This window comes from Homo sapiens, chromosome X (genome assembly GCF_000001405.40).
Source record: "Homo sapiens chromosome X, GRCh38.p14 Primary Assembly".
Taxonomy (NCBI): Eukaryota; Metazoa; Chordata; class Mammalia; order Primates; family Hominidae; genus Homo; species Homo sapiens.
In genome coordinates this window covers 131,014,711-131,033,165 of record NC_000023.11, presented here as the reverse complement: position 1 = coordinate 131,033,165, position 18,455 = coordinate 131,014,711, and the positions used below count along the sequence as shown (strand labels likewise).

General features: G+C 37.5%; 1 long non-coding RNA gene across 1 annotated transcript in view; it reads left to right on the top strand.

The window, feature by feature from the left end:
- The window catches only part of LINC01201 (long intergenic non-protein coding RNA 1201), a 41,678-nt gene extending 24,981 nt beyond the window's left edge, over positions 1-16,697 (top strand). The window contains exon 3 of the long non-coding RNA NR_126350.1: positions 16,645-16,697. This is a non-coding gene — a long non-coding RNA (long intergenic non-protein coding RNA 1201). The remainder of the gene's footprint in view (positions 1-16,644) is intronic.
- Positions 16,698-18,455: the final 1,758 nt, after the last annotated feature.

Genomic DNA, 18,455 nt, shown 5'->3' with positions numbered 1-18,455 from the left:
TTATGCATCCAATTAACTCCAGCCACCAGGCAAGCCTTGGAGGGACAGGGAGGGACACTGAGCAGGTAGGGAAATACAGTAAATATGTCTAAATTGAAACCACAATTGGGCTCAAATCAAATCTTTTTTAGTAATAACACTAAGTAGGGCCTTTAGGAAAACAAGTCATGGCAGAACTAACTTAATTTACTCTTCTGATAAGGTTACAAGGCTTGTAGATCAGGAGAATGCTGTAGACAGGATGCATCTGGATTTTAACAAGGCTTTTGACTTAGACTCTCATGAGCCTTTTATAGATAAAGTGAAGAAATACAGACTGCAGGTGAGACACCAGAGGTAGCAGGTGGCTGCTGATATGTGGATCAGTGTCTCTAGTGATAGGTCACAGATCTTTACATCAGTGTCAGTCAAGTCACCATTCTTATCCAACAGCTCAGACAGATGGCATGCTCTCTGAGAGTGAGGATGCTGGGAAGCTAGAGGATCTAGCTAACAGATTGGATGGGAGACTCAGGATCCAAAACAATCTCAGTAGGCTGGAGCATGGGCTGACCTCTGTGAAATGCAATGTCCAGCATTAGGAATTCAAAATTCACATGTACAAAGACAGGCTTATATACAGAGCAGCCGTCAGCATACAGAAGGCAGAGGAGATCAGTAGGCAGACAGCTGGATGAGTCAGAAGAATGGTGAGGCTGGCAAAAATAAAAAAATTTAAACAATAAAAGCTAAATGTAGCTGAATGTGCCTCTCTGGAAACAAGAGAGAACCGTGCTAACACTTGATTATTTTCCATTATCCAGGCCATACTGGGTTCCATTCTGGGCAAAATTCCTTTTATCTCCCTGATGTGTGTTATCTTTAAAAAATAAATAAAAACAAAAGGTGGAGGGGAAATGGAGAGATGTTGGTCAAAGGATATAAAGTTTCAGTTAGGAAGAAGAAATTCTGGAGATCTATTCTACAGCATAGTGACTACAGTTATTAATAATGTATACTTGAAAATTGCTAAGAGTATATCTTAAATATTCTCACCACACACACATACTAACTATGTGAGGTAATGGATATGTTAAATAGCTTGATTCAATCATTTCACAATGTAGGCATATATCAAAATGTCACATTGTACATTGTAAATATATACAATTTTGTTTGTCAATTACCTCTTAATAAAGCTGGGGAGAAAAATACAAAAAAAACTTACCAAAGTATGTAAAGTGAAAATTGACAGCGTTCCTCCCTCCCAGTACCTAACCCCAAAGGTAATCACTGTTAACAGAATACTGAGTATCCTTCCACACTTATCTTTGAAATTATTTATGATGTACAATTTATTAACACAAATGAAAGCAAGCTATATGTATTGTTCTTGGCCTTGCTTTTGATTTAACAATATATCATGGGCATTTTCCCATGTCAGTGATCATAAGAGCTAATAATTACTGTACACTTTCCACGTACCAAATACAATTCTATAAATACTTCATATTTTCATTCAGTTAAAACTCATAATAACTTCCATGAGATGAAGACTATTGTTATTATTCCCACTGTAGAGAAAAGAAAACAGCTCAGAGGACTTTCCTAAGATTACAGTTATTTAATGGCAGAGGTTGGATTTGAGTTCAGGTCTATCTGGTGCCAGAATCTATGCTCTTAACATCTACACCAAGCTGCCTGTTAGTTCTTTGAGGGCTACCTCATTTTAAAAAAATACAGTATAGGAGTTTATTGTATGTGTATCATAATTTAATTAATCTTATGTTAGTGGACATAAGATTGTTCTGTTACTGAAAGATTTTTCAGAGCTTTTAATATGCTAATGTGCATTATGAACCTCTTCAGAGGTGGATATAGTAGGCAATGTGTTCGAAACTTCCCTAACCATGGCATCTTTTTTTTCTCACAGAGTACTTGAGAGACTGGAGCATTGGGGATCAGATTTTGGTGTGCATCTGCATCATCTGGGATACTTTTCAAATGCAGACCCCCAGGCCTCGACTAAAGTGCTTCTGATATGGATAATTTATAGATCACACATTGAGAAATACTGCTGTGTGCTATGGGATTAATATTTGATGTATAAAATGAATATGAGTAGCTACATAACCACAGTTTTATTGATCAAAGACATGAGTAGCTGGGAGAGAGAAACACTCTTTTCCCTTCCCTCCTCAGGTCACCTAATCATCAGAACCTTATTCACTCCAATGTCAGAAACCCACATCAAGGATGCATTGATCTGGCATCCCCAGTGAGCTAAGTTCCCAGGAGACTAAGCCACCAGTAACCATCACACCTCTCCACCTCCCTCAATGAAGAACTTGCCACTACTGAAAGTATAAGATAATAATAGATTAAAATCCATTAATCAGTAAGTTAATATTCCATGCATATTCTAACTCTTACTATTGGGATCTCTTTTTTTCAGTTTCTCTCATCTACAGATACATTAAGAATAGTCAGTTTCTTTTCTTTCTTTCTTTCTTTTCTTTTCTTTCTTTCTTTCTTTCTTTTCTTTTCTTTCTTTCTTTCTTTTTCTTTCTTTCTTTTTTTTTTTCTCTGAGACACAGTTTCTCTCTTGTTGCCCAGACTGGAGTGCTATGGTGTGATCTCAGCTCACCAGAACCTTTGCCTCCTGGGTTCAAGCAATTCTCCTGCCTCAGCCTCCTGAGTAGCTGGGATTGCAGGCATGCACCACCACGCCTGGCTAATTTTGTATTTTTAGTAGAGACAGGGTTTCTCCATGTTGGTCAGGCTGGTCTCGAACTCCCAACCTCAGGTGATCCACCCGCCTCGGCCTCCCAAAGTGCTGGGACTACAGGTGTGAGCCACCACGCCCAGCCTAAGAATAGTCAGTTTGTAACACAAACATCTGCAGAACAAGAATTAACCCAATAGCGACAAAAACAAATATGAGAGAATAAATGTTATTATGTGTTTTTTAAACTATGAGTTTGGAAAAGTACAAGATGTCCTGCTTGTGCTCTCAAGTTATATTTAATATCATCAAATCCCACTCACCATTGCAGGTTATTGCTTAAGGGTCACTTGAGGTCGAAGTGGAGACAGGAGAGAAAGGACAAAGGGGGAAAGGATGAGAGGGTGAAGACATAGCCAGACTGCTCAAAGGAGTGCTTAGCAGGGAGGCTCCTGGAAACATTCATCTCCAGTGAGTGGACAGGGGCGCTTACTTGAGAAGGAGCCAGAGTAGGCTATTGCTGTTCAACCCCAAACCCTGCACTTGAGACCCCCTCCACAAATCACATGCTGAGATTTCCAAAATACCCTTGCCCTTAGAATCTCAAAGGATTCTCACTTCAGCTGCAAGAAGCCAAGGGGGCATTACTACACACCCTATTTGACAAGTGGGGCTTTAAAGGCTACAGAAGTTTGGAAGAGGCAATGCCTAGTGTAGAAAAGGAAACCAACAGATCATGATGCAGTGGAAAGTATACTGGAATTTATAAATTTACATTTAGCAGAATCTCAAGCATGTCAAATTGCATAGAAAAAAAGCTGGAAGGAAATATGGACCCAATATTGATCATTATGGATGACTGACGTTTTCTTCTTCATACGTGTCTGGGTTTTCCTCTCCTCTCAAACATTTTACAATGGGCTTTACTGGTTTTATACACAATAAAAAAGGTAAATACTAAAGAAAAATAGGGCATCAGCCTAAAATTCATGTTCCATCTCTGCTCCTCTCACTCTCTGAGACTCAGTTTCTACAACCATCCTCAGGGAACTGAGATTGGATGGAGATATTGACTGAGAGAAAGGGAAAGAAAAGAAATGGAAGGAAAGGGAAGAGAAAGAAAACAAAGGGAAGGAAAAGGGAAGAGAAGAGAAAGGAAGGGAAGGAAAGGTCAAGACTAAGATGGTGGTCTAGTTGAAGTTATCTTGGAAAAGGAGATACTGTTCTCTGACCTCAGAGATGGTGGCTATGATAATGCTTTGCAAATTGTCAAGAGCTATTATGCAAATGACAAGACTCATTGCTCTTAAAGACCCCTGCTCCCCATCGGACATATGTGTGCATGCATGCATGCACACACACACACACACCCCTTCCCTAAACTGCTTGAACATTTACACTTTGGCTCAATTTTCTCTTCCATTTCGGCGATCTCATTACCAATTCCAGGCAGAGTCTGTTCTCTGCTTGCCACTAGCCAATCTAGCTACCTTGGATTCCCCAGCGTAACTGAGTTTTTCCCCCTATAGACTGTTGTCATTAACAAGTGTCATCTACATAACCCAAAGCCATGTCCCAGAGCTCTGCAAGAGCCAGCATAGTGACTAAAAATGCAGCCTGGTCCAACCAGGACAGGATCTACATTTCCTTCTTTCAAGCCATATTAATTACCTCACTATGATAATTCCTCACCTATGCCCAGAGTCTATGGTTTGCAAAGAAGCTGTATATTCCGTATCTTTCTGGGGCCTCACAGCAGTATTGGAAGGGAGGCAAGTCAGAGATGGACACTCCTGTTTACAGAACACAGAGAGGGCAAGTGACCTGTTCTAGAATCACAGAGAGTGAGTAAAAGATAGTATCAGAATTCAAATCCAACTTTATCCCATACCCAAGCCAGGCTCTTTCTCCTATAACATAGCATTAGCTTACAGTTGGATATGGAGAAAGGAAAACACAGAAAATGAGTAACTATGCACATGACCATTGAGAGATTCAACATGACATGGTTGCAAAACCTTTTTCTTACTGGAATAAGACAAGATCCACGACTTGTAATAAGACTCCATTTGGAATCTGGAAGCCAGATAAGAGAAAGTTCTCTGTCTGAGATTATCACTGGGCTCTTCCACGAATCATTTCTTCATTCATTTCTTCATTCATTTATTCAGTATATAAGCATTTATTAAATATTTCATATGCGCCAGGCACTGTGCTTAGTGCTGATGGATAAGATATAAAGAAAGGCAGGATATGGTCCAGAGCCTCAAGGAATTCATCATGGTCTAAGAGGGAGGAATTTAAAACAGACATGGCTAATTCCAAATACATAGCAAAGTAGGATTCATGCCATGAAAGAGTAAAATGCTCTGGTAGCCTAGAGAAAAGATTCAGATCTGTTTGCTGTTTGGGGGATGTGGGATGACTTCATGCTATATGAAACTGACCAAGGAAGGATGAGTAGAATTTGAAGAAATAGGAGCTGGGTGGGTGTAGGGACTGCCAGGAAGAGAACAGCATGATATAGGCACAGTGGTAAGAAACCAGACGGATTAGAAGGGAATCAGTGAATAATTCTATTTTGATGGAGCTGGGATTGGATACAAGAAAGAAAAAGATAAGATGGGAATATATATTTGGGCCAGATCATGGTAAGTTTGGAATACTGTGGGCCCAGCATCAGTTTCCATCCTTCTCAGAGGCCAGCAGTGGCTGTGCAGGAAGGATTTGAGGAAGGCACAAAGGATGGACGCTGCTCCCTCGGATCCACAGGCCAAGGGAAAAAATAGTGATGCTTACATTGGTTCCAAAAGAGGGAAAGCCACACTAAGTCTTTTTGGCAGGGTAGCAAATAATGGCAAGTTGCTTTCAGAGAAAATGTGCTCAATTTTGGTTTTTTAAAATTGTTTTTATATATTTAGGGGGTAGAAGTCCAGATTTCTTACATGCATATATTGCCTAGTGGTGAAGTCTGGGCTTTTAGTGTACCCATCCCCCCAAAGAGTAAACACTGTAGCCAATACGTAATTTTTCAATCCTCATCCGTCTCCCACTCTCCCACCTTTTGAAGTCTCCAATGTCTGTTATTTCTCCCTGTATGTTCATGTGTATCCATTGTTTGGCTCCCACTTCTAAGTGAGAACATGTGGTATTTGTCTTTCTGATACTGAGCTATTTCACTTAAGATAATAGCCCCCAGTTCCATCCATCTTCCTGCAAAAAAACATGACTTCATTCTTTTTATGGCTGGGTAGTATTCGATGGTGTATACATACACCACATTTTCTTTATCCAGTCATCCGTTGATGGACATGTAGGTTGATTCTGTGACTTTGCTATTGTAACTAGTGCTGTGATAAACATGTGAGTGCAGGCATTTTAAAAAAATAATGATTTATTTTCATTTCAGGAGAAACCCAGTAGTAGGATTGCTGAATCAAATGGTAGTTCTATTTTTAGTTCTTTGAGAAATCTCCATGCTGGAAAATGCTCAATTTTGTTCACTGAAATTTTGGCCTTGGCACCTTCCCCAGTTCACCTTCTATGCCTTTACTTGTGCTAAACTTTAAACCTGTAGTGTCATCCTCAGCCTATCTCCCATGAATTCCACTTGTTGAGGATGCAGATTCATTTTGTTCAAGGTATTTTTCCTGCCCTTTGCTTCAGTGGTCCTCACTTCCCCATAGTTAAAGCCACTGATACCTATTTCTGCTCAGTCTTCTTCCTGGCTCCTCCTTGGCTTACTTCTTTGGAGTTAGTCTTTTTTAGTTTAGTTCCTGGTCCTCTTCTCATAGTCTAATTTGAAGATGCCATTCCTGAGCAATGTGGTCCACACTCATGGTTGCAACTTCTTTGCCAATAACCTCTAAATCTTTATCTTCTCTTTTCTGAGTCCATGTCCCACAAATCCAGTTGCCTCATTGTACATCTCCACTTTGATGTACCACAGTTAACTCCAACTCGAAATCTCTTTCACCATTCTAGAAGAAATAAACTTCTAGAAGAAATCTCTTCCACCATTCTAGAAGAAACAAACATGCTTTTCCACCTAATCTACTATCATATGCTTCATCATGCAAATTAGGCACCTAGACCTTTTTCTTGACACTCTCCACCCACTGTCCCCTAAATATCTAATCAACAAGCAAGTCTTGAAATTTCTACTTCTTTAATATTAGCCGACTATGTCTGCTTCTCTTTATCTCCCTGCTGATATCTCAACTGGATTCCTAAAATAGCCTTCTAACTGATGTCCTTGACCCCAAATAATGCGCCCCAATTCTCACACAAGCCATGAATCAGTACTCTTTTCAAATATCACTTCTTCCAGGAAGCATCTCTGGATCCCTCTCAACCAGTCCTCTCTTCACATAGATCTTGCTCTGGGAATAATGGAATTAAATAGCATCTCATAGCCAAAGAACTTCAGAAATGCTGATGTTATGTCCTGTTTCTGTAAGAAGAAATTGGAACAAGGGAGATTTATGCTCCCCAAAAATATTCTTGAGGTGTATTCTGCTGTGGAGAATCCTGAGGTACATGTAAACCTAAGAGAGCAGGAGTTCAGGAATTGGGAGTGGGCTCCAAGAGAGCAGCCAGCTCTGTAGAATCCACACTAATCTGCCTCCAAACACTCCAAGTTTTCTAATTTTACCCTTTTTCTTTGGCTTTCTCACCAAAGATGTGACCCACTGCTGCAGGGATTTGGGAAATAAAATGCATCATTAATCAAAAATTACTCTTCCCTAAAATAAAATATTAGCTCTGTTGGGTAGTTAATTGCATTATCAGAATGAGCAGCTCATCCTCTTTTACAAGGGCTTTAAACACTGATCGCCTAATAAGTGCAGGAATTATAGTTAATCTAGCTCAAAATTTAATTATGATGAGTCATACATCACAAAGCAAGCACACGGGGCAAAACTCTGGTGAAGTCATGTCCAACTGACCTTGACCCCAGGCCTGCTGGTTCTTCTTTCTAAGTGGGAAATTGGAAATCCTTCCTGTTTGTGAAATAACAGGGACATCCAAACAAGACCCACCCCAGTCTACCTCAGAAGTCTTACGGGAAAGCCTGCCTTAATCAAATCTTGCAATGAGAAAGCCCAGAAGCAATTCTCCCTCTGGGCTCTGCCTTTCCAGACCCTGTTAGAGTATTATGAAGTTAGATTTGAAGAACACCATTACAGTGGATCCAGGCTGGGACTAGGTATTAAGGAATTGCGTGAGACGTTCAGAATTTCAAGAATGCATCTAAATATATAGTTTCAAAGACTTTCGTGGTTGACACAGACCTAAAAAGTCAACAGTTCCTCCACGTGGTATGGCTTTGTGTCCTCGAATTCTCCCAATTGCTCACATAACTGAGGACAATCTTCCAGGTTTTTTTCTGAGTAAAAAAAGCTGATCAGCCTTCTTCATTTGGAATTTTCCACTTCTAATAATGTGGTTTAAGAAGTTATTATCTCTGAGCAGTTACTGGCACCTAAATTATTTTCTCACTGGTCATTTTAATTATTTGTATACATATGCAGGTTGAACTCAATTGCCTCACTTTTCATTAATGACTGCTAAATTCTTTTATATTTAACCCATTATTCAAGCTAGTCATGACTTTGGGGAATACTCTTTCTGCCCTCCAAAATAGCTAGATCTTCTTCTTGCTCTTTGCCATCTGTACTATTGAAAAGCAATTCTATTTTTTGTTTCCTGTTTGGAAATCATACATAGTTTTTCTTTACCATTTCAAGGGTGTATCAATCTCTATGTATTTATTTCCTGATGAGGGTATTAAGGAAGTCTCTTATATGTCTTTATTCAATCTTCCTACCCTCTAGGTTGACTTCCTTTTCTTGGTATTTTGGGGCTTAGGAGAAAAAGATTTTGATCTAAACCTTCCATGATTATAGGCATGTTAGTCATATTTCCTTCTCTTCCATTTTGCTTATCTGTTGTTGTGCTACAAACCATCCAAAATTTAGTGGTCTTAAGCAACAATTTTATGTTATTCATTATTTCATGGATCAGGAATTTGAGACGGCCTTGCCTAGTGGTTTGTTTCTCATTCATGTGGAGTTGGCTGGAGGGCTGGGACTGGACACTCCACTTTCAAGATCGCTTCTGCACCTACATGTCCTCAAGGTCTGGAACCTTGTACCCCACCTCAATATGACATCTCATCCTCCAGGCCCACTCAATATGACTTGAGCTTTTCATAGCGTTGATGGTCTTAGGGTAGTCACATGTTGGCTGGCTTTCAAGAAATCAGTGAAAATTTCCAGAGCAGTTAAGAGCTATTCCAAGTACTGTAACAGCATCACTTCTATTGTATTTTATTGGTAAAAGCAGTCACAGGTCCCATCCAGTCTCAAAAAGTTAGAGAAATAGACTCTACTTCTTGATGGGGTAGTGGCATTGCAAAACAGCATATAGAATATGACATATTGTTGTAGCTGTCTTTGGAAAATACAAACTTCCACACTTTCTATAGATTTCCAGACTTAAAAGTCTCATACTTTAAAATACACATGGAAAGACTGTACAAGAATGGAGAAATTTCAAGAAATAAAGATTTAAGGAATTGGACTATTTACCTTGAAGATAATATCACGTGGTGGATGAAACAAGGATTTAAATTCATAAAAATCTAGATTCAAATCCTACCATGAATCTTACAAATTTTAAACCCATGGAAAAATAACTTTATACATCAATAAACATTTACTAAGCATTTTAATATGCTAAGCATTGTGCTAGAAACCTAGGTATACATAAATGCCTAAAACAATATATAAGCCTTCAAAAAGGATCTTGAATGAGACCCATGTTTCATGTTTGGGTAACCAGTTGTTTTGTGTTGCTATTTACTGTGATAAAACATACAGGAGGAGATAATAGTTTCTATATAAGCTAAAGTGCAGGGTTAAGCAGGGGAAGATGTCAAATAGGCAGTCAGAAATACTAGAATACTGAATGGTCTGGTCTAAAGATACAGTTTTGGCAGTGATCAAAATAAAAATGGTAACTGAAGCCCTAGAAGTGTATGAGTGTGCAGAGCGAGAAGAAAAGGTGGCATAAAAATGATCCCTGATAAAACATCAGTGTTTATGGGGTAAATGGTGAAAAAGGAACTTGCAGAGAAAAGATTACTGGATTTGAAGACATAACGTTAGAAGCCTGAAAATTAAACAAAGAGAGGAAAAATAAAAAATGTCAACATAGTGTTAATGAGCTGTGAGACCACTGAAATCAGCCTCATAGACATAATCAGAGTCATCAAAGGAGGAGGGAGGACAGAAAAAATATTTTAAGAAATAATGGCTGAATATTTTTCAAATTAGATAAAAATTATGAACCCACAAATCTAAGAATCTCAACAAATCCCAAGCATAAAAATTGTGAAAAACTACACCAAGGGACATCATAACCCAATTGCTTAAAATCAGTGATAAAGATAAAATCTTATCTTTAAGATAAATCTTAAAAGAAGCCAGTACAAGGGGACTGGGAGTGGGGTGGGTTAGGTGGGTGGTGGAAGACACATTACCTAAAGAGGGACAATTATAAGAAAGACAGCAGATTTCTTATTGGAAATGATGCAAGTTATAAGACATCAGAAAAAAAATATATTTAAAAGCACTGAAACAAACCTGTTAACCATGCTAACAATGGACACAGGAAAGCTAAAGTGGCTATATCAATACATGCAAAGTAGACTTCAGACCAGTGGGGGTCTTTTCATAATGTTAAACAGGTTAATTCATTAAAAATACATAATAATCTTATATAATGAGGTTCAAAAATACATGATGCAAACACTGATAGAGCTTAGACAAATCCACGATCATGGTTGGAGATTTCACTACCCTTCTGTCTTAGTCTATTTTGTGTTGCTATAAAGGAATATCTAAGGCTGGGGAATTTTTAAAGGAATTAGTTTTATTTGGCTCATAGTTGTGCAGGCTATACAAGAAGCATGGAGCAAGCATTTGCTCCTGATGAGGGCTTCAGGGAGCTTCCACTCATGGCAGAAGGCGAACGGGAGCCAGCAAGTACAAAGATCACATAGCAAGAGAGAAACCAAGGTGTGGGGAGGTTCCAGGCTCTTTTTAAAAACCAGCTTTTGTGGGAACTAAGAGGGCAAGAACTCACTTTCCCTCATCTCAGGGAGGACATGAATCTATTCATGAGGTATCAGCCCCCATGACCCAAACACATCCCATTAGGCTCCACTTCCAACATCGGGGATTAAATTTCAACAGGAGGCTTGGAGGTATATCCAAACTATAGTAGCAACAAATGATAGAAAAGTAGAAGGTTAGTGAGATTGGAAAAGACTAAAAAAGCGCTTTCAACGAAATTGACCGAAGTGACATTTATAGAGCACTTCACCCAAAGTATTGGAATAAATATTTTTCCGAGTACAGATAGAACATTTATCATGATAGACCATATTATGGCTCATAAAACAAACCTGAATACTTTAAAAAAATAGTAAAATTATACAAATATATTCTGATCAATATGGAATTGAATTAGAAACCAGTAACAGAAAGACATCTGAAAAGTTCCCAAATATTTTAAAAAAAAACCTAAACAATACACTTAAATTACCCGTGGGTCAAATAGGAACTCATAAGAAATGGAAAATATTTTGAAGTGAATAAAAATGATAATGCAAAATACCAATTTTGCAGATTGCAGATGAAGTAGTGCTCAGAGGACAATTTATACTATGAAAGGCTATATTAGAAAAGAAGAAAGGGCTCATATCAATAATCTAAACTTCCACTTTAAGAAACTATAAAGTAAAAGCAAATTAAGCTCAAAGTAAGGAGAAAGAGGGGCATAAAGTTAAGGGTAGAAATCAATAAAATATTATGTAAAACAGAAATACAATTGTGAAAATCAACAAAACCAAAAGCTAATTTTTTGAGTAGATAAATAAAATTGTTAAACCTCTAGCCAGACTGTTCAGGAAAAAAAAGAAAGAAGACATAATTTACTAATATCAGGAATGAGAGAGGTGATACCACTGCAGATTTTACAGATAATGAAAGAATATTATAGACAATTTTAGGCTAATAGTTTCAACAACTTAGATGAAATGAGCAAATTTCTTAAAAGATGTAAGCTATCAAAGCTCGCTCAAGAAGAAAGAATTTGTAGTTGAAAACCTTTCTACATAAAAAATTCTAGGACCAGACGGCTTTTCTGGTCATTTTTACCAAATATTGAAGAAAGAAATAATACCAATCCTACACAAACATTTCCAGAAATGTAAAGATGAGGGAATACTTTACGACTCAGTCTATGAGCCAGCATTACCCTGAGACTAAAACCAGTTGTAATCAATACAAGTAAAGCAAACTATATATCAATATCTCTTACAAGCATGAAGATGAAAATGTTTAACTAATTTTATGAAATCAAACCCAGTAATACATTTAAAAGATACTACATCATAGTTAAGTGAAATTTATTCAAGGATTGCAAAGTTGGATTAATATTTGAAAATGTCAATATATAATAATTCACCATATTAACAAAGAAAATCCATATAATTATCTTAGTAATGTAGCAAAAACACGTTCTACAATATTCAATGTCCATTCCTGGTGTTAAAAATAGAAACTTCTATGCAAACCTGCCATAGAAGACAGCATCTTCAAACTGATAAATGGAAAACCTGCTGCTAATATCACACTGAATGTTGAAAGACTGAATGCTTTTGCCCTAAGATTCAGTAGTAAGGTAAGGGTGTCTACTTTCACCACTTCTGTTCAATATTTTACTGGAGACCACACTCAATACAATAAGGTGAGAAAACACATAAAAGACATATGTATTTGGAACAAAGATATTTTATTCCCAGACTACAGGATCATCTCTGTAGAAAATCGTAAGGAATCTACAAAAAAGCTATTAAAAGTAATAAGTGAGTTTAGCAAGGTTGCAGGATACAAGGTCAATATACAAAAATCAATTTTTGTACCCTAGCAACAAACAAAAGGAAATTGAAAAATTTTAAATATTATTTTCAATACCGTCAAATAATATAAAATACTTAGGAATAAATTCGACAAATAACATGGAAAACATGTACATAATATTGCTGAAAGAAATTTTAAAAGACCTAAACAAATGGAAAGTTATGTTTATGGATCAGAAAGCTCAATAATGATAAGATAGCAGTTTTCTCCAAATTGATCTACAGATTCATCATAATCCCATTCAAAATCCCAGTAGGCTTCTGTATAGATATTGACAAGTTGATTCTAAAATTTACATAGGAATTCAAAGGACCTAGATGTGTCAAAAATAACTTTAATAAAAAACGAATAACTGCCTGGTTTTAAGATTTATAGTAAAGGTATAATAATCAAGATAGTATAGTATTGGTATAAAAACAGACTTATATATCAATAGAACAGAATAGAGAGTCCAAAATAGACCCACACATATAAGGTCATTTGATTTTTCACAAAGATGGCAAGGCAATTTAATGGGGAAATCTTTTTCAACAAACTTCTGAAACAATGGAAAGATCACGTATAAAAAAGTAGGGCCTCAGCCCTTATCTCATGTTATATATAAAAATTAACTCAAAATGGATCAAAGACTTAAAAGTAAGAGCTAAAACTATAAAACTTCCAGCACAACACTTAATAGAAACTCTAAGTGACTTTACATTTGGCAAAGATTTTCTAAATAGAATACAATAAGCATGAGGACTTAAGCAAAATCAATAATTGGACTTCATCAAAATTAAAAACTATTGTTTCCTAAAAAATACTATTAGTAAAATAAAAAGGCAAGTCACAGATGGGAGAAAACATTTACAAATCACATATCCAATAAAGGACTTGTATCTAGAATATATAAAGAATTTTTATAACTCAATAATAAGAAGATAAGCAATACACTAAAAATAGGCAATAGATTAGAATAGACACTTCACGAAAGAAGAAATACAAATGGCAAATATGTACATGAAAAGATGTTCAACATCATTTGTCCTTAAAGAAATGTGAATCAAAACCACAATGAGATATCATTACACATCCATTAGAATGTCTAAAATGAAAAGACTGACCATACCAATGTTGGTGAGGATGTGGAACAACTGGAATTTTCATTCATTTCTCATGGGAATATAAAATGGTATATCCACTTTGGAAAACAATGTGGCAGTTTCTTAAAAAGTTAAACATATACCTATATTACAACCCATTCATCCTTCTCCTAGCTATTTACCGAAGAGAAATGAAAGCATATACACTAGCCCACAAATGCTCATTGCAGCTTTATTAAAAACAGCCACAAACTGTAAACAACCCAAATGTTCATCAACAGGAGAATGGATAAATAAATTGTGGCATATTTATACAATGGGATGCTACTTAGCAATTTAAAAGAGCAAACTGTTGATGCATGCACAACATGGATGAGTCTCAAAATAATTATTTTGAGTGAAATAAGCCAGACAAAAAAAGAGTACATCCTGTCTGAATCCATTTATATAAAATTCTAGGAAATGCAAACTAATCTGTGTTGATAAAAGCAGATCAATGGCTGCTTAGGGACAGTGTGTGGGCTGTTTGGTTTACCAAAGGGTATCTCGAAACTTTTGTTGGTGACAGATATGTTCATTATCTTGATTGAGGTGATAGTTTCATGGGTGTATACGTGTGTCAAAACTCATCAAAATGTATATTTTAAATATGTGCAATTTATTATATGCTTCAATACAACTGTAATAAAAAGTAAGAGCAGGACTAAAGAGTAATCATGGTAAATGTAGCACAGTGGAGTAGTATGATTGATCACACTGAGTTGAAAAAAGAATAGGAAGTGAGAAAACTGAGATTGGGTATAGACCACTGATTTTTTAGACTTAAAAGATGAGAGCAGCTTTAATAGTAGATGAAGGGGACAGTGGTGGCAAGAAAAGATTTCTAAAGAAGAGGGACAGTTGAGCATATGAATAACCTGAGGTTAGGGAACTGGTAGGGAGAGAGGGAATAAAGAGTCAGGAAAGAGAATGGATAGTAGTATAAGCAAGATTCTAGGGGAGATAGGAGGAGGAAAATTAGAGGAGGGTGTACAGAGCAAAGGTGGAGAAACTAGAGGATGAGGGCCAGTTCTTCTGAAACTAAAAGAGAAATGTGAAGTGAGAGCTAGTGAAGCCAAAGAGACCTTTGTAGGTATGGGGACAAGAAGCTGAAGTTAACTTCAATCTCCTTTATGAATTAGGAGTCTTAGCCATTGTATGGGGTGCGGTGAGGGTAGAGTGAAAGGGACTGTTCTTTGAGAGGAGTGATGAAAAACTTGGAGTATAGATGGGAGAAAAACTGGAGAAAGAGGTGACTTGGGGCATGTGAAAGGATTGCAGGGTGGCCAGAAGGACCAACTGAGGTTGGAAATTCTGACTGTTAGAGGTACCAATACTTGGGGTGCTGCTCCTTTCTCCCACAGTGGCCATTATGACATCAGAGAAATCATTAGTTTGGAGAGACTCAAAACTGAGGCTAAATAGTGCAGATGTGGTCATTGGAGGGCAAGGGGAAGAAGAGGCAGTCAATACTAAATAAATATGCTCCAAGATCCTGGCTGGACAAGGAAAAAAGTGAAGAGAAAAGGAAGGTCTTGGGCTCTGGCCCCTCAGTGAAGCCAAAGAGCAAATGGCATGGACCCAGCCTTCATCAGGGGATTTGGGCCTCAGTGGGATATTGGAGTTGAAGCCACACCCAGTGATGTCAAGTGAATGGGAGTGGTTGAGGTGCTCAGAAGTTAAAGGTCAGAGAGACGTGAGGCCAGGGTGTTTGGGGTGGGACTTTCGTGTGTATATTGTTGAGGACACCCAGGATGAGGACAGAACTTGGAGTGTCAAGGAAGCCTGTGAGCTGGTCCTTAGAGTTCAGGAAATGATCATCACAAGGGTGGTAGATGCTGGTATAGTATGATGCTCTATGTCTTAATGGAGTTTCATGCCTTGAAATCTAGTGGAAAAAACAATTCTACTACTGAAAAGATTCATTTTAATTTGATTAAATTCTAGGGACAAAGTTTCAATATAGTCAATTTTGTTTTTTTCTTATGCCAGTTTTTTTGAAGAGGTGGTTTGAACACTTAGTTCATTGCATCTCTGAGAGAACAAATTAAGATAATGAATTTAAAATGCTCAACCCAGAGCGTGGCACCTAGTAAGTGATCAGTAAATGTAAGCAGCAACTATTAATATTACTGTGCTTTTGATTTGTTTTACCATTAAGTAATGTTATCTCTTTGAAGACTTATTTCTATGGCCTATGGATTTTCTCTGGAGCTTTAAGGCACAGTTCTGTCTCTGCAAATGACAAATCCTCTGACTTCTAAAGACAGCCAAGACATCTCTCAACCCTAGGCAAAATATCCCCAATTTCTCCCCTGTTCCTCTAAGGATCTCCTTTCCAGAATCCCAGTGAAAAAAAAAAAAAACCACAAAACAAGTTCAGTCATAACTTGTCTGTTTCCACAGGTTCACAGCTAGAGAGAAATTTAGCCTCAGGACAAATTGTACCTTGAGTCTCACTCATACATGATTTAGACGATATTTAGATGATACCTTGCACTTAAGACTTTAGAGTTGTTGCTGGACTGAGTTAAGACTTTTGGGTCTGTTGAGATGGACTGCATATATTTTGCATGTGAGAAAGACATGAATTTTGGGGGGCTAGGGGCAAAATGTTATGGAATGAAAGTTTGTGTCCCCCCGGAACTCATATGTTGAAGCCATAACTCCCAATGTGTTGGTAGTTAGAACGGGGCCTTGGAAGTGTTAGATGAGGTAATGATTACAGAGCCCTCATGATGGGATTTGTACCCTTATAAGAAGCAATATCAGAGAACTAGCTCTCTCTCTCTCTCTCTCTCTCTCTCTGCGCCATGTGGGGACACAGTGAGAAAGCAATCATCTGCAAGCCGGGAAGAGAGCCCTCATCAGAACTCAACCATGCTAGCACCCTAATCTTGGACTTCTAGCCCCCAGAACTGTGAGAAAATTAATTTCTGCTGTTTAAGCCACCCAGTCTATGGCATTTTATTACGGAAGCTAGAGCTAATATGTGTATCTTGACTAGAGTTCTGACTTCACATAGTATTCTTAGCATGTGCATATGTCACATTTTACTTATTCAGTCTTTTAGTAATAGAAATCTATATTGCTTTCAGTGCTATCACAAACAATGATTTTATAAACACCCTTGCACATGTCCCTTAATGGTTCTGTTATAGAATTATAAACTCATTCATAGAGTTTATGCATATTTAGTTTCATTAAGCACCTTCAGATTGCTCTCCTGAGTGGCTCTACCACTTCACACTCCAACCAACAGAACTTAATATATGATTTCTCATATCATCATCAGCTCATAATATTATCTGGCTTTATAACTTTGCCATTCAAATGTGTGTTAAGCAATATTTTGTGGATTTTTAAATTTGCATTTATATGAGTACTACTGAAACTGGGCATCTTTCCATAGATTCATCCGTAGATGTAGTTCCATCTACATCCAAAATCGATTTGAAACAGATTAACATAAAAATTCAGAGAAATAGGGCAGATAAATAAAGATCAAAAGAATGATAGGAAAATCATGTAGAGAAAGGGAGAACCAAAGGTGAAACAGTTTCCTCTACCTAACATAACTCTGAGTTTCCTGGTAGCCAAGACAAAAAGGAAAAAATGATTCATTTATTCAATAAATGTTTCATGTTGCAGCTTTAAGGTTTGAATTTCTTTGGTCTGTTAGCTGAGTTTCAGGATAGATAGAAAATAAATATAGTTTTGAGAAAATAATCTGACTAAATCAAATCCTCAAAATGTAAGCATCAGAATAACACTAGAGAAAATATTCCTCAGGGCTGAATCATCTTACCAATCATCATATCTGCAAATAGCTTTTGAGACATTTGTTTTGGTTTGAAAAATATTTTTAAGACATGTTGATTTTTAAGTTTTTTTCTAAAAAAACTTTTGTTTTGAGCAGTGGGAAGCAGACTGCATAAAACCATTCTGAAAATATTTTCTCAAAACACTGTGATGCTTAACAGTGTTTAAAGAATTTTGATTTTCAAATGTTGGTTTCAAAATGGCTATGAAAATTGCATTCCTCAGGCAAAACTATGGAAATAGTAAAAGAATCTATGGTTGTCAGGGACTAGGCGGAAGGTGGGATGAATAAGTAGAGTGCAGAAGATTTTGGGGGCAGTGAAACTACTCTGTATGGCACTATAATGTTGACTACATGTCATCATACATATGCCCAAAGCCATAGAATGTACAACACCATGAGTGAACCCTAGCGTAAACTGTGGACTTTGGATAATGGTGTGTCAATGTAGCGATTCATCAATTGAAAGAAATGTATCACTCTGGTGAGGAAATGTTGATAACAGGGGAGGCTGTGCATGTGTGGGAGCAGAGGGTATATGGAAGATCTCTGAACCTTCCTGTCCATTTATCTGTGAACTTCAAGCTGCCCTAAAAGATTGTCTTTATTTTTAAAAGTTTATTTACTCCTCCATCACAGTGAGTCCCCCCATTGCTGCACTGGGACCAACTAGCCATGGCTCCTGCCTGAGGGCTGCAAAGGGTCCCGGCTATAGGCCTGGATCATTATATATTTAGCCTTATGAACAAGAAAGGAGCAAGTCTGGGGGCTCCCCAAGGCAGAGGCAGAGTCCTTAACTCCATGGTCCCTGGTAC